Here is a 13,509-nt window from a genome sequence, read left to right as displayed (position 1 = left end):
CTGAGTCAAAATACTTTATTGAGTTCTTCCAATGGGGAAAGCACCCAGTCTTCAGACTTTGCCTATCAGCTAAATAAAATCCCCTGGGAAAAAAAGGCTTGGTGCATTCTTGCCCCGTGGGATTCAAAGTTATCTCTTTTTGGCTTCTCTGGTTCTCTTGGTATTGGCCTTAAAGATAAAGCTGTCATGACCTGTTGTTCTGCAGCTGTGGATTTGCAGAGGAGCCCCTCCCACTCCCAGCCTTCAGCTCAGGTGAAAAACAGAACAGGCTCCAATAAATGGTGGGAATTTTCAACTGTGGGCAGATAAGAAGGCTGCTATTGTCAGGCAAATCACTCTGAAGTTCTCCTTAATCCTAACCTTCCCCACAGTAACTAGCCCAGTAGAAATGCTTACGGGATGTTTAACCCTTAACCAACCTCAATCATCACGGTCTGTAAAATCCAAAGGAAAACACAGAAAGCGTACCCATTCGCTGCTGATCAGGATCCATAATTCCTTCTCAGCTAAGATTCAGCACCAGGGCAGAGATCTTCAGAGAAGCCTTCTCTGACATCCATCTCGTCCCACTCCCCACCATTGATTTGGTCCCTCCAGCCCTTATTTTCCCCTAGACCACATATATTTCTCTGTTGTAGCTCCAATAGCTTGAACGATAGCTAAAGGGCACTGAATGTTTACTGTATGTGAACGCATGGGAGAGACACTTGAGGATACCATCTCATAGAGTCCTCCCAGTGATTCTAAGAGGAACCAGTGGTATCTCCAGTTTATGATGAAGAGACTGAAGTTCAGAGTGGTTAGTGGCAACAGTGCGCTACACTGCCTCCCATCGTGGGATAAATGTTGGCACTTGCCGATGCCACTGGACTGTGAGCTCCAACAGGGGGAGGACTGGCCCTCAGCATCTTTGTCTTCCCACACACCGCCCAGTGCATACTAGATGCTCAGTTAACATGCGGAACCAAGCCACCTCCCCAAGGCCCCTCTCTGTGATCCAGAGCACCAGGCAATAGGTTTTGATTATATGCTCTGTAATATACTAGGATTACCATATTTTTCTTTCTTTTCTCTTCCTGCAGTGTGCCAGCCGGCATCTCTTCCCTGGCTTCCAGGCACCGAGCTCTGTTTTTTGCAAACACTGGTGGCTCTGCCCGAGGCCTTTTCCCAGCCTCTGGGGCAGCTCAGTGAGTGCTTGGGGCATGTGGGATGCCAAATGGTCTTACCATTATGGTGCAACTGGGGGCAACTTCCAGCTGCCAGCATCCATGTCCACTCAGGCAGCCCAGGAGCTGTGACTAGGGAGTTGGCAGGTGAAGACCCCAGCTCCTTTGACCCTCAACTGGAAAACCTCCAGACATACCCGTGTCCTGTAGTTTCTGGAGCTCCCACAGGACTGGCTCCAGTTGCCCACGGTGGCAGCTCGCTCTCATATATCCCCCTACTGTCTGTTTTCCTCTCCTGTCTCACTATCCTATTCACCTACTGGAGTTTCATGGGCGTCACCTCCTCAAAACATGCATGTGCCCTTGAGTCATCATCTCAAGGTTGGCTTTTGTGGGCACCAGACTGAGACAACACAGACACACCCTTCGACAGATGCCAATGGCTGGCAGTGCTGGCGCTGATTTGCTTCAGCACAGACGGGCTTCTGGTGTGAGTGTCATCAGCGGGTCACCCAGATTGCCTGCTGCCTGAGCACAATGGACTGCCAGCTCAGCTGCCTCCTTTCGGCAGCCACTCCTGTGTTCCACCAAGACCACAGTTCTCCTGGGTTGTTCCTGTCAAAAATTATGAGTGCAGCCCATTCCTCTAACAGGTGACTTTGGCTTGAGGACTCCCCATCAGCCTGGCTGAGGCACTCTCTGAGCTGCGCTGAGATCTGGGGCTCTTTCTACCAACACTCCTTCCTTCCCCTTCTCCATTCGCAGGCACCAGCCCCACATCCCTGTCTGAAGGCTCTCCCTGTCTCTCCTATGTCCTTTGCAGGCATTTCTCCCAATACATCTGCACACCAAATTCCACCTTAGCTGCTTCTCAAATGGTCCACACTAACACAATTCAATTGAAACCCCACCTCTGAGGGGCAAGTTCTAGATCTGGGGGACAAGGACCATACCCCAGACTGGGCTATACCTTCCCCAGAGTAAGACAACACAAGAGGCCCTGGCTGCCGGGCCAGCTGATGGCCCTAACAACAACTCTTTCTTACTTCTCTGAAGGTTCTCAGGGCCAATGAGAACTGCTTCTATTTCATCTACAGCAGTGGTTTGCAACTGAGGGTGACCTTGTCTCCAAGGAGGTACTTGGCAATGTCTGGAGACATTTTTGGTTGTCATACTATGGGGAGAATGATACTGGCATCTGGTGGGTAGAGGCCAGGGATGCTGTTGAGCACCCTACCATGCACAGGACAGCCCCCCACAACCAAGAATGATCCAGTCCCAAACACCAACAGTGCTGCGGCTGATGAGCCCGGCATCGTGGAGAGAGAAGCACTAGTCTTGGAGCCTGGAGGAGGAGATCAAACTTGTACTTAAAGAACAGATGAAATAATTTAGAAAACTGGGTTCCAAGCCTGGTTCTGCTACTCACCATAGCCCTAGGCAGTATGTGGCTTCTCTGAATCTCATTTCCTTACCTATAAAATAAGAACGATAACATCCAGTATGCAGCACTCTTGTGGGGATTGAAGATCATAACCCAGAGAAAGCACCCACAGTTTTACTGGCATAGGATAGGCACTCATGAAACTAGAATCCTTCCCTCTGGCCTCTGCCTGTTTCTATACCCAGCCTGGTGCCAGAGCAAGTCCAGATCTGGTCTCTCAGGGTGACTGTCCTCAAGGATGGTGACACCTTTCTTAGAGCCTTCCTGTCCTGCACTCCTTCAATTCCCTCCCTCCAACTCTTCATTTCTTCATCCATTTGTTCTACTAAGGTTTACTGAGTGCCTGGTATGAGCTCCAGGCATTTAAGATACATGGGTCAACAAAACAGGCAACCGTATCTACCTGTGAGAAAAGACTTGTTAAAAAGCTTACGTTCTATGGGGGGGCAGAGGGGCGGCGGATAACAAAGAATATGATGAATAAATCAGTAAATCGTATATCATGTTAGAAGGTTGGGAAAAAAAGGAACAGGGAAGGAATGCCCACATTGTGGGGGGGGTGTGGGGGAGGGGGTCGGGAGTGGTTTGTAATTTTAAATAGGGTGATCGTGATCAGGAGAAGGCTTATTGGGAAGGGGACAGTTGAGCCAAGACCTGAAGAAGTAAGGATTCAGCTGTGGGGGCCTCTGAAGGGAGGTTGCCCGAAGCAGAAAGTACAGCCCATGCAAAGGCCTGAGGTCCCAGCCCTCAGTGCCCCGGGAATGTGGATTCTACCCTCCTGCCGGTCTTTCCCAGGAGGCCCACCTACCAAATTGTAAATGAGAACCATCACCTGGGGACTGTGATGTATTTGACTCGCAAGAAGGTAAACAAGTACATTAATTTAAAATGAGTAGCAAGCTGGGTGTGGTGGCTCAAGCCTGTAATCTCAGCACTTTGGGAGGCCGAGATGGGTGGATCACTTGAGGTCAGGAGTTGGACACCATCCTGGCCAACATGTTGAAACCCTGTTTCTACTAACATACAAAAATTAGCTGGGTGTGGTGGCACGTGCCTGTAACCCCAGCTACTTGGGAGGCTGAGGCAGGAGAATCACTTGAACCTGGGAGGCGGAAGTTGCAGAGAGCCAAGATCGTGCCATTGCACTGCAGCCTGGGCAACAGAGCAAGACTCCATCTCAAATAAAAAATAACATAAAATAAAACAAGTATCAATACCTACATCCCATCTCCCCCTTAGGCAAAGGATCATAATTGGAGGATATCCATTCCTACTCCAAAGGAAAAGGCCAGTTGTCCATTTATATTTGTTCATTAGCCTGATTCCTGCCTTGAGTAATTACAGAGGATTAAAGCATCATTCCGAGCTCACTGCAATTGAAATCAGGCCCCAGAAGAACAATGCCTTTGCGTGAAACTCCAAGGGGAGGCAGGGGTGGCAACGCAAGGCTCTAATTCTGTTCTCTCCTATGGTGTAGCTGGGTACAAATGTTATTGGGGGTATTGATTTAGGTGCTCGCTTTATCCTCAGGGGCCCTGGCCGGTCAAGAACACAGGTGAGTGGGATCCTGGAGGACATTCTAACCCAGCCAAAGTGGGATGCTTGCAACCAAAACCATACACACAGTGAAAGAGGAATTCCTTGCAAGCATCTGTTCTCTGGGCTTGCCTGAGACGGAAACAGCTCCTCAACTAGTTGCTGTATGGTACGACTGCTGTCATTCACATGAATCCTGCCTTCAGCATGCAGAATGGTCCCTCTCCCATTCCTAATGGCAGCTCTTGCCTGCTGTTGGCCTACTGGCATGACTACTTTATTGGCCACACCATACCTCTCACTTTGCCTATCAGAGCTACTCAACAGCCATCCTAAGACCAAGATTCGGTGTCAAAACAGGATGAGGAGAAAGTCCTTTGAAAGCTCACAGACTGCCAAGTTATGAATGTCTTTATTTGAATGAAGCATTACAGAAATGTCACCGGATGAGTGTTTAAAAGTTCACAAAAGACTTGTTACAAATAAGTTAAATAAAGGCACCTTCTATCTCAATAACCCATAGAAGTAGGTATTATTATTATTATTATTGTTGCCATCAGCACTGAACAAAGTGCAAGTTCCCAGTGCTGAGGCCACAGCCTGCCTCCGTCTGGCCCATGGCCCCTGTGGGGTGGAGAAGCCATCTGAACTTAGTTGCTTCTCTTCTTCTTTCTTTTTTTTTTTTTGAGACAGAGTCTTGCTCTGTCACCCAGGCTAGAGTGCAGTGGCGCGATCTCAGCTCACTGCCAGCTCCGCCTCCCGGGTTCACGCCATTCTCCTGCCTCAGCCTCCCGAGTAGCTGGGACTACAGGCGCCTGCCACCGCGACTGGCTAATTTTTTGTATTTTTAGTAGAGACGGGGTTTCACCATGTTAGCCAGGATGGTCTCGATTTCCTGACCTCATGATCCTCCCACCTCGGCCTCCCAAAGTGCTGGGATTACTGGCGTGAGCCACCGCACCCGGCCTCTTCTTCTTTCTTGATGCCACCATGCCAGGAAGGTCCCACCACCTGCTACCTGAAGCCCTAGAACAAGCTCCAACTTGGGCTGCTGGCTACCACCTTCCTCCTTCATGGCTACTACCAAACATCATCCCTGGGGTCAAATTCTCAACACTCCCTGGCCAGGATACGGCTCACATTCCTTGGCATAGCATTCAAGGCCCTTCCCCATCGAATGGCGGCCATGTCTCTGACCACCTCTCAAAGTCCCTTGGCCCTCTGGCAATGTCTGCTGTTCAAGAATCACTGCCCTCAAGTATGACATAATAAAAGGAGCGGTTACCAAAGCACTTCTGGAACCACCGTCATCCTGAGGACACAGAGCTTGCTTTGCCAAGCAGGTCACAGGTGTCCTTATGAAAAGCATCAGATGCTTTGGAGCCAAGGAACCCAGGGAAGAAGAGGTTTGCCTTGCTGCAGGATCACGTCACACACAGGATGCATCTGTTAGAGCCAGAGTTGGCATATTACGATTTCTGCTTCCTTTTTGAAGCTGAGTAGAAAAAAAAAAAAAAAAAGACTCTGCCACCCAGATGTTAAGTAACTCCTAAATCCCTCTTTAATTAACTGGGTAATCTCAGTGCCACGTTCAGACAGCACCTTCCTCTTGGTGTTTTTAGCCTTGAAAATGGAGGTCTGCAGTCTTAGGCTTGGAACTGAGAAAAGAAAAGTGAGGGTTGCTCAGGCAAATCCCCCTGTGAGATGTTCCGTTTAACTGCATAATTGACAGGGAAGGAGAAGAAAGGAAGATTATTTAGGGTTTTGTAGGTTTGCTTTACAACCAAGATAATCACTTGAAATTCTAATGTTTTCCGTGGTTCAAAAACTCTTCTTACAGAAGACAGTGGTTGGGGGCAGTAGGGCGGGAGGATCCCCAGAGACCATTTAATCAACAAACACTCATTGTGCACCTGCTAGGTGCTGGGCCCTGTGCTACGGGCTGAGGATGCTGCTGATCAATGCTGAATCAGTGTTGAAGCTTGTTTTCCAAAAGGGTGGGCAGAACCCAAACAGGTGACTAGGGGAATAAATTAATGACTGAGGTGATAGAGAACAGAGGGGCTTGGGGGAGGAGACATAGTAGATCTGCAGGCTCTTGAATGCCTCTTTGAAGAGGCAGGATTTGGCATTTGAACTGACACTTGAGTGATGAGCAGGAGCCAGCAAGGCAGGGGGCTCCAGGAAGAGATTCCTGGACCCAGACAGAGGGAACGGTAGGCACAGACCTAGCCTGCTGCAGGAAAATGCTGGGATTCTCCAGCCAGTGCGGCAGGAGCAAATGACTGGGGAGAGGAGTGGGTCAGAATGAGACTGGTGGCTGGTGAGGGAGGCAGGGTCCTCCCCATTCAGTTGTTTTGTAGACCAGTGTTCACCGAATTACTGTCTGTGGGCCAAATCTGGCCCGCTGCCTGTCTTTATGAATAAAGTTTTATTGGAAAACAGCCACGTCCATTTGTTTTCATATTGTCTATGGCTGCCTCAGTGCTAGAAGGGCAGAGGTCTTCAACTGCTACAAAGACTGTAAGGTCCACAAAGTGTAATGTATTTACTATCTGGCCCTCTATAGAAAAAAGTTTGCTAAGCCCCATTGTTAGGAAGTTTGGGTTTTATTTTATTTGTAGAGACGAGGTCTTGCTATGTTGTCCAGGCTGGGCTCAAACTCCTAGGCTCAAGCAATCCTCCCACTTTGGCCTCCCAAAATGCTGGGATTACAGGCATAAGCTACCACACCTGGCCTGAATTTTATATCTATGTGCAATCAAGTAGCCACCAGAGGGTCTTACATATTGGATTGATATGTTTTAAAAGACTACTCTGGCTGCTGTGTGGAGAAAAATTTGGAAGGGGCAGGAGGGGACGAAGGAGAGAGAGAGGAGGCTGCTGGATTGCCCTGAGTCCTCTCACCACATTGCAGCCCAATCATGTTCAAACTGGGCCAGCGAGTGCCGAGTTGCTGCTATGTGTTTGTCACTGTGCAAAGTACCTCCTTAGACCTTATTTTATCATCACAACCTTAAAAGAGATAACGCACTTCAACCATTTAATTCCACGCCTGGCACATTGAAGTGCTGAATAAAAGTTAATGAAACAATTTGTAAAAACATTGGCAAGGAGCACCAGTCTACTATCTTGGGGGCGTTTCTCAGAAGCAGAGCCTGAGACGAGGATTTGGGCCCAAGTGATGTATTAAAGAAGTCTTCCAGTAATGGGGGTGGGAAGAGGGTTGGGGAAGGAAGGGAAGCCAGGCGAGCATTGGTTGGTTTCAGGCAAAGTTGTGCCTGGGGGAACCTCAGCCTGAACCAACTTGGAGTGTAAGTTACACCCACCTGGAATGTAAGTTACACCTCGGGGTGTGTCCTGAGGTGAGGCAAGGGAGCGCTGCTTTCAAACTCACAGGTGGGTCAGTCACGGGAGGAGGGGCTGCCCTGAGGGGACATTAATTCCCAGGTACTTAAGTTCTCGGAGGCCGGGAGGCAAAGGGAGAGTCCTGGAAGAGGAGCCACAATGCAGGATGCTGAAATCAGAAGCACACCAAGGCAGGCAAGCGTGGTGCACAAGAAAAGGCTTGAAGGGATCTAAGAGGATCTGGACGGTATTGTCTGCTACACATACTCATTGTTCAGATAAGGAAACTGAGGCTCATGGACACCGACCTGTTCTCCAATGGCAGTTGGGATCCCAATCCCCGTCTGACTCCAGATCGCATCCTCTGCTCTTTCCTAGCAAACCCCTCCTTCCTCCTGCCAGTGGTCATGAAATATTAAAGCCGTCTGATGCTTCCTATGGCATGAAATAATCCTGCAGGTACGCTGGCCACACTCTCTTGCAGACTGTCTTTTAGTGCCTATAATTGCTTAATCAAAAACAAATGAGGGTTATAAAAATTGGGAATGTTCAATGTCCTCTGAATAGTCAAGGAAGGTTATCAAAATACCAAAATTTGCACAAATATAGCTGCTTTTATAGAGCCTCTCTAACAGCAGACTGTAAAACAGTGCTCTCCAACAGGGGGTGGGAGATAAAGAATTTCTTCTTCCAACAGTAATAAATCAAACAACCTTCCGTGGACAGTGGAAATTGATTTTTCTCACTCTTCACATAGCCACGGCACTACCAAAGCCACGGTGCGATGCTCTCACGGTGACAAGCTTCAACTTGGCCACATCAATTATCAGAACAAGAAATGTCAGGCTTTGGCACAGCCAGGCTGAGATAGGAACGCGAGCTCCTGCCGTGGCTGCCCTGTGTGTGCCCCTCCCCCACGGATTTTTATTTAAAGTCTAACAAGACTCAACTAGGCCAAAGCCCAAAGTTAATCTCCAAGAGAATCCTCCCTCCCTTCTTAAAATCCCCTTCATTGTCCAGGGTAGCCTAGGTTAGCTTAGGACTAATTCCTGGTCCAGGTGAACTGGTGGAATAAAGTCTGCCTCTCTCTTCCTCTCTCTCTCCTCTTTCTCCAGCTCTCTTACTTTCATGCTTTCTCTTTCATTTTTTTTTTTCTGGATTCAAATGACCCAGCTCAAGAAAGATTTTCAGACCCAGAAGAGTAACCCATGCAAAGCCAGATCTTTTCATCATCTGAAAGGCAAAACAGGCCCTCAGCATCCCCATCTCCCCAGAGGTTCTAATCGCTCTCACTGCTTCCCAACCCATCCCAAGAATGGAGGCACAAGCATTGGGAGAGCAGAGAGGTCAAAAAGCACATTCAACACCCCAAGCTCATCCAAGCTGCTGCCTGCTTCACATCAGCTAGTATCGCATTGGCCAAGGCAAGTCACAAAGCTAAAGTCAAGAGAGGGCATTGTGGTGGCTCATGCCTGTAATCCCAGCATTTTGGGGGGCCAAGGTGGGAGGATTGCTTAAGCCCAGGAGTTAAAGACCTGCCTGGGCAACATAGTGAAACTCTCATCTCTTAAAAAAAAAAATTAAAAAATTAGCTGGTCCTGATGCCACATGCCTGTAATCCCAGCTACTACAGAGGCTGAGGTAGAAGCATCACTTGAGCTCAGAAGGTTGAGACCAGCCTGGGCAACACGGCAAGACCCCAACTCTAAAAATAAATAAATAAATAAATATTAGTTGGGTGTGGTGCTGTGTGCCTGTAGTCTCAGCTGTTCAGGAGGCTGAGGTGGGAGGATCGCTTGAGCCCAGGAGGTTGAGGCTGCAGTGAGGTATAATGGCACCATTACACTCTAGCCTGGGTGACAAAGCAAGAGCCTGTCAAGGAAGGAAGGAATGGAGGGAGGGAGGGAGGAAGGGAGGAAGGAGGGAAGGAAAGAGAGAAAAAACAAAACAAAACAAAGAAACAAACAAACAAACAAACAAACAAAGTCAAGAGGCAGTGAAGTCCATTCCATCTACCTGTGTTGTGGCTGTGGCAACAGCATGGATGCAAAATGCCATTCCAGGGTGTGTGGACTTGGAATTCAGCCTGCCACACATCCCAGTCAATGCAATGGGGTCACTGTTAACCAAAACGTATTCCTCCCTCTCTCTTTCCTCCCTCCCTTCTCTTCCTTCAGTCTTCTTAAACAGAAAGCAAATAGTGGCGACAGGTTCTATAAACAATTAGACTGGACAATCAGGAAAATGAATTCTTAATCCATACGCAAGATGTAGAAGGTGCTCCCATGAGAAGGCATCAGAAGAGATCCTTGAGCCCATGGGAGAGATCTTGATTCCCCACCACATGACATCACAGTGCCAGGGGACTACTGCGACAAACTATTGATTTTAGCCAAATAGTTTTCCTAAAAAGCAGCAGTTTTGATTCCTGGACTCTCCTCCATATCATAAAAGTACCAACAGTGTCTAATGTACTTCACTACACACTCTCCATAAATTGTATCTGTTTTTCCCTATAAAACTCTAGGAGGTGGTTGCTACTGTTGCCATTTTACTGATGAGGAAACTAAAGCTCAGAAGGGTTGACTAAATCGCCCAAGGTCACAGAGCTAGTATGTGGAAGAGCTGGGACTTGAACCAACCCAGTCCTTAGATTGTAATTCCTTTGTTCTTTCCAGTACATTCCAATCTTTCCTTCCGGTTTCAGTAGCCAGCTGCCTTTCTTCAGCCATTGCTCAGAAATGAGATACTAAAGAGAAAGCAGGAGCAGGCAGGTGTTGAGAACTATGGGCTGAGCTGATGCATAATTCTTTGTCCCACATAGTGCCAGAGTACACTTTGTGAACACTGAAAAAAACCATATATTGTAACTATTAATTTCCTGTGGACACTTGGGAGCAGAAGAACAAGGCTAGGTGATGTTTAAGTTGTAAGTCATCCAGAGCAGAGTCACTGGCCTTGAAATCCTTTCTCTGCAAACTTCTGAGCTTGGATGCTGAAGTTTCACAACCCTGTGGCAGACAAATGAGGTGTGACAATGTGCAACAATTTCTCCCTCTTGCCGCAGAAGATCTGAAACCCGAATGCACAAATTAAAAGGTAAAGGGACACTTAATCAAAAATGTCCACAAAATGACGAGCCTCTCCGTTACCTTCTGCTGGCAGAAATACAAAAGGTTTTGTTCTGTTGCTTTTTTTTCTCCTCTTTCCAGCACTGAAATGTGGCCAAGCCAGTTAAGACAAAGAGATTAATTGTTCTTCTTTCAACAAACTCTTTAGTAAGAAGACATTCAAAACCTACAAGTTCCCTTCTTTATATTCACAATGCCTGGTATATTCACAATGCCCAGACCTGGGGAGTTGAAGAGATGAAGTTAGGCTGCTCTGGTTTCATTTCAGAACCTAGTGGTGTCCGAGGCTGCCTTATAAACAGTGCTACATCCAATGAAACAGGCTCTATTTCCACGGTGCACCCACTACTGAATTTTACTGCAGGATATTTCAATGAGAAATCAATTGATAAGGAAGGCACTTATGGGGCAAGATCCTGGTTTGACACTTTGTCAGTGGCACCAGTAATGGCCACTTCCACCTCCTGCTCATCCGCAGAGATGTGCTGGAGTGACAATCACATTTGCAGGGACACCCGGTATCAGACAAATGCCATTTTTGCAGGGGGGCTGACAGAAGACTAGAGCTGGCTTTCCAGACCTCTTGCCGGGGCGTGCTTGTCTCAGAGTAAGGAATCCATTAGATGGAAGGAAATCGAGAGCAAGTCAAAGATGGAGGATGAACAGACAGGCTTAATTGATGAGGAAGAGCCTCCAGTGGGCTCTGCTGAGAGCAGGATGTCCGCTCAGATGCTGAAGACCATGGCTCTGGTGTCAGAAATACCTGGGCCAGCTGGTTTCTATCACTGAGCCACACCATGAGCTTTGTCAGGGCTTGTGATGGGCTTGTTATGAGGAACAAAGCCATGGCAACTAGCAGAAGGCAGGAAGTACCGTGTCTGCAGAGGCTGACTTCCCTCCATGCCTCTTCTCCTCCCCTGCAGTGGACAGGGCCTCTCAAGTTTGTGCAGAGTCCTTGGTACCATTCTAGACACAGGTCAGCTCTGTGGCCAACTTCCTTTGCAGCCTGTGGGGCGTCTGGGAGACTTCAAGGCATCTGCTTCCAGTCAAGAGGTGGCTTTGTGTGCCTGCTAATTCTCCAGGTTTCTCCTAAGTGGGTGAATTCCCCGGAATGTTCACTCCACTTGGCCAGTGCTTTTCTTCCCGGCTCTTAATTGGAGGCTAAATGCCATCTGAGTGATCATTAAAGCACCATTCCAAGAGGGACCCCGTGGAGCCCTGGGCACAGAGGGTGTCCAGGCCAGGAAGGGGCTGCCCTCCACACTGAACCCCTGCAAAGTGGCAAATGAGCAGGAAACAGTCAGCGATTATGCAAATCCAGAGCCTGCATCTCATTTTCTTCTCTGCCACTTGTGGGAATCAGCGCTGAGACCTTCCTTGTAATGAATGTTAGTTGCTTCTGGAGATCGTAACTTCCCAGGAGCGCTGTTCTCCTCCTTCCTTTAAAAAAAATCTACAACCACACGACATATAGGTTGACTTTTAAGATTTATATATTTTTTACAGTAAAGCTTTCATAGACATTTCCCCACCAGAGTTAGGACTGTACCTCATATAAAAATCCTCTGGGGTGGAGTGGGGTCAGGGGCAGCAAAGGGCAGGGAGACAGGTGAAAGGGAATTTAGGGACAAGCATGGCAATAGTACCTTGCAAGGCCTGTTTTTTGTTCATTTGTTTTTGAGACAGGGTCTTACTCTGTTGCCTGGGCTGGAGTGCAGTTGCACAGTCTTGGCTCACTGCAACCTCCGTCTCCTGGGCTCAAGCAATTTTCCCACCTCAGCCTCCTGAGTAGCTGGAACTGTGGGCACACGCCACCACACCTGGCTATTTTTTTTTTTTTTTTTGCATTTTTAGTAGAGATGGGGTTTCTCCATGTTGCCCAGGGTGGTCTCAAACTCCTGGGCTCAAGCGATCCTCCCGCCTTGGCCGCTCACAGTGCTGGGATTATAGATGTGAGCCACTGGGCCCGGTCATGCGAGACTTGTTTCACTTAATTTTTTCAATCCGGAAAATCCATGTCTTTGTTCTCATTTTGTAAGTGGGGGAAAGGCAGAGGTTCAGCAAGGTTAAGTCACCTGAATAAGGTCACACAGCTGGCAGGTGGTGGAGCTAGGATTCCAGTGAGCATCTACCAGGCTCCAAAGCCCATTCCCTTCCCTCTCAGCACACTTTTCTCTCCCTCTCCTTGCATGAGAACACATTTTCCCATGTTAGGAAGCATGAACCTCAGCCACAAACATCATCCAACAACGTGACTATAAAAAAATCTGGATTAATGAATTTGAATTTTTTTAAATTTTAGACCGAATCTCCCTCTTTCACCCAGGCTGGAGTGTGGTGGCGTGATCTTGGCTCACTGCAACCTCTACTTCTCAAGTTCAAGCGATCCTCTTGCCTCAGCCTCCCAAGTAGCTGGGGTTACAGGCGCCCACCACCATGCCTGGCTAATTTTTGTCTTTTTAGTAGAGACAGGATTTCTTCATGTTGGCCAGGCTGGTCTTGAACTCCTGACCTCAGGGGATCCACCTGCCTCAGCCTCCCAAAGTGCTGGGATTACAGGTGTGAGCCACCACATCCGGCCCATGGATTTGAGTTCTGTAGACCTATTCAATGCACAAAGTTTAAAGGCTGTGTTTTATATCTGATTATGTGCAACAAAATCCCTCCACTGGCCTCCCCACTGTATCCCACATAAATCATTGTCTTTCTCCCAAAGCACCCTGGGCAGAAAGCCCAGGGTGGGCCCTGCAGCTGTCCACCCCAACCCACCCAACTCTTAGCACTCAGATCAGGGGGTCTCTGCCAAGAACTCTTCCCCGTGGCTGGAGCCCACATGGATCTCCCTCTCTGAAATGTACACAGCCTACGTCGATTGGTCACAGGC

The 13,509-nt window shown here is 48.2% G+C and overlaps 1 protein-coding gene across 11 annotated transcripts in view, besides 2 other annotated features; it reads right to left on the bottom strand.

The window, feature by feature from the left end:
- KAZN (kazrin, periplakin interacting protein) overlaps nucleotides 1-13,509 on the bottom strand; it is a 1,225,220-nt gene that overhangs the window by 350,487 nt on the left and 861,224 nt on the right. The window lies entirely within an intron of this gene.
- Nucleotides 4,388-4,888: an enhancer, noted in NCBI's record as "H3K4me1 hESC enhancer chr1:15089165-15089665 (GRCh37/hg19 assembly coordinates)". NCBI's record gives its function as "activates a minimal SCP1, AML or CMV promoter by ChIP-STARR-seq in naive H9 embryonic stem cells {active_cell/tissue: H9 hESC(naive)}" and the evidence as "EXISTENCE:reporter gene assay evidence [ECO:0000049][PMID:30033119]".
- Nucleotides 4,889-5,389: an enhancer, noted in NCBI's record as "H3K4me1 hESC enhancer chr1:15088664-15089164 (GRCh37/hg19 assembly coordinates)". NCBI's record gives its function as "activates a minimal SCP1, AML or CMV promoter by ChIP-STARR-seq in naive H9 embryonic stem cells {active_cell/tissue: H9 hESC(naive)}" and the evidence as "EXISTENCE:reporter gene assay evidence [ECO:0000049][PMID:30033119]".

Source organism: Homo sapiens, chromosome 1, assembly GCF_000001405.40.
Source record: "Homo sapiens chromosome 1, GRCh38.p14 Primary Assembly".
In the NCBI taxonomy this organism is placed as follows: domain Eukaryota; kingdom Metazoa; phylum Chordata; class Mammalia; order Primates; family Hominidae; genus Homo; species Homo sapiens.
The sequence above is the reverse complement of the archived record's forward strand: the minus strand, read 5'-3'. Positions and strand labels throughout refer to the sequence as shown.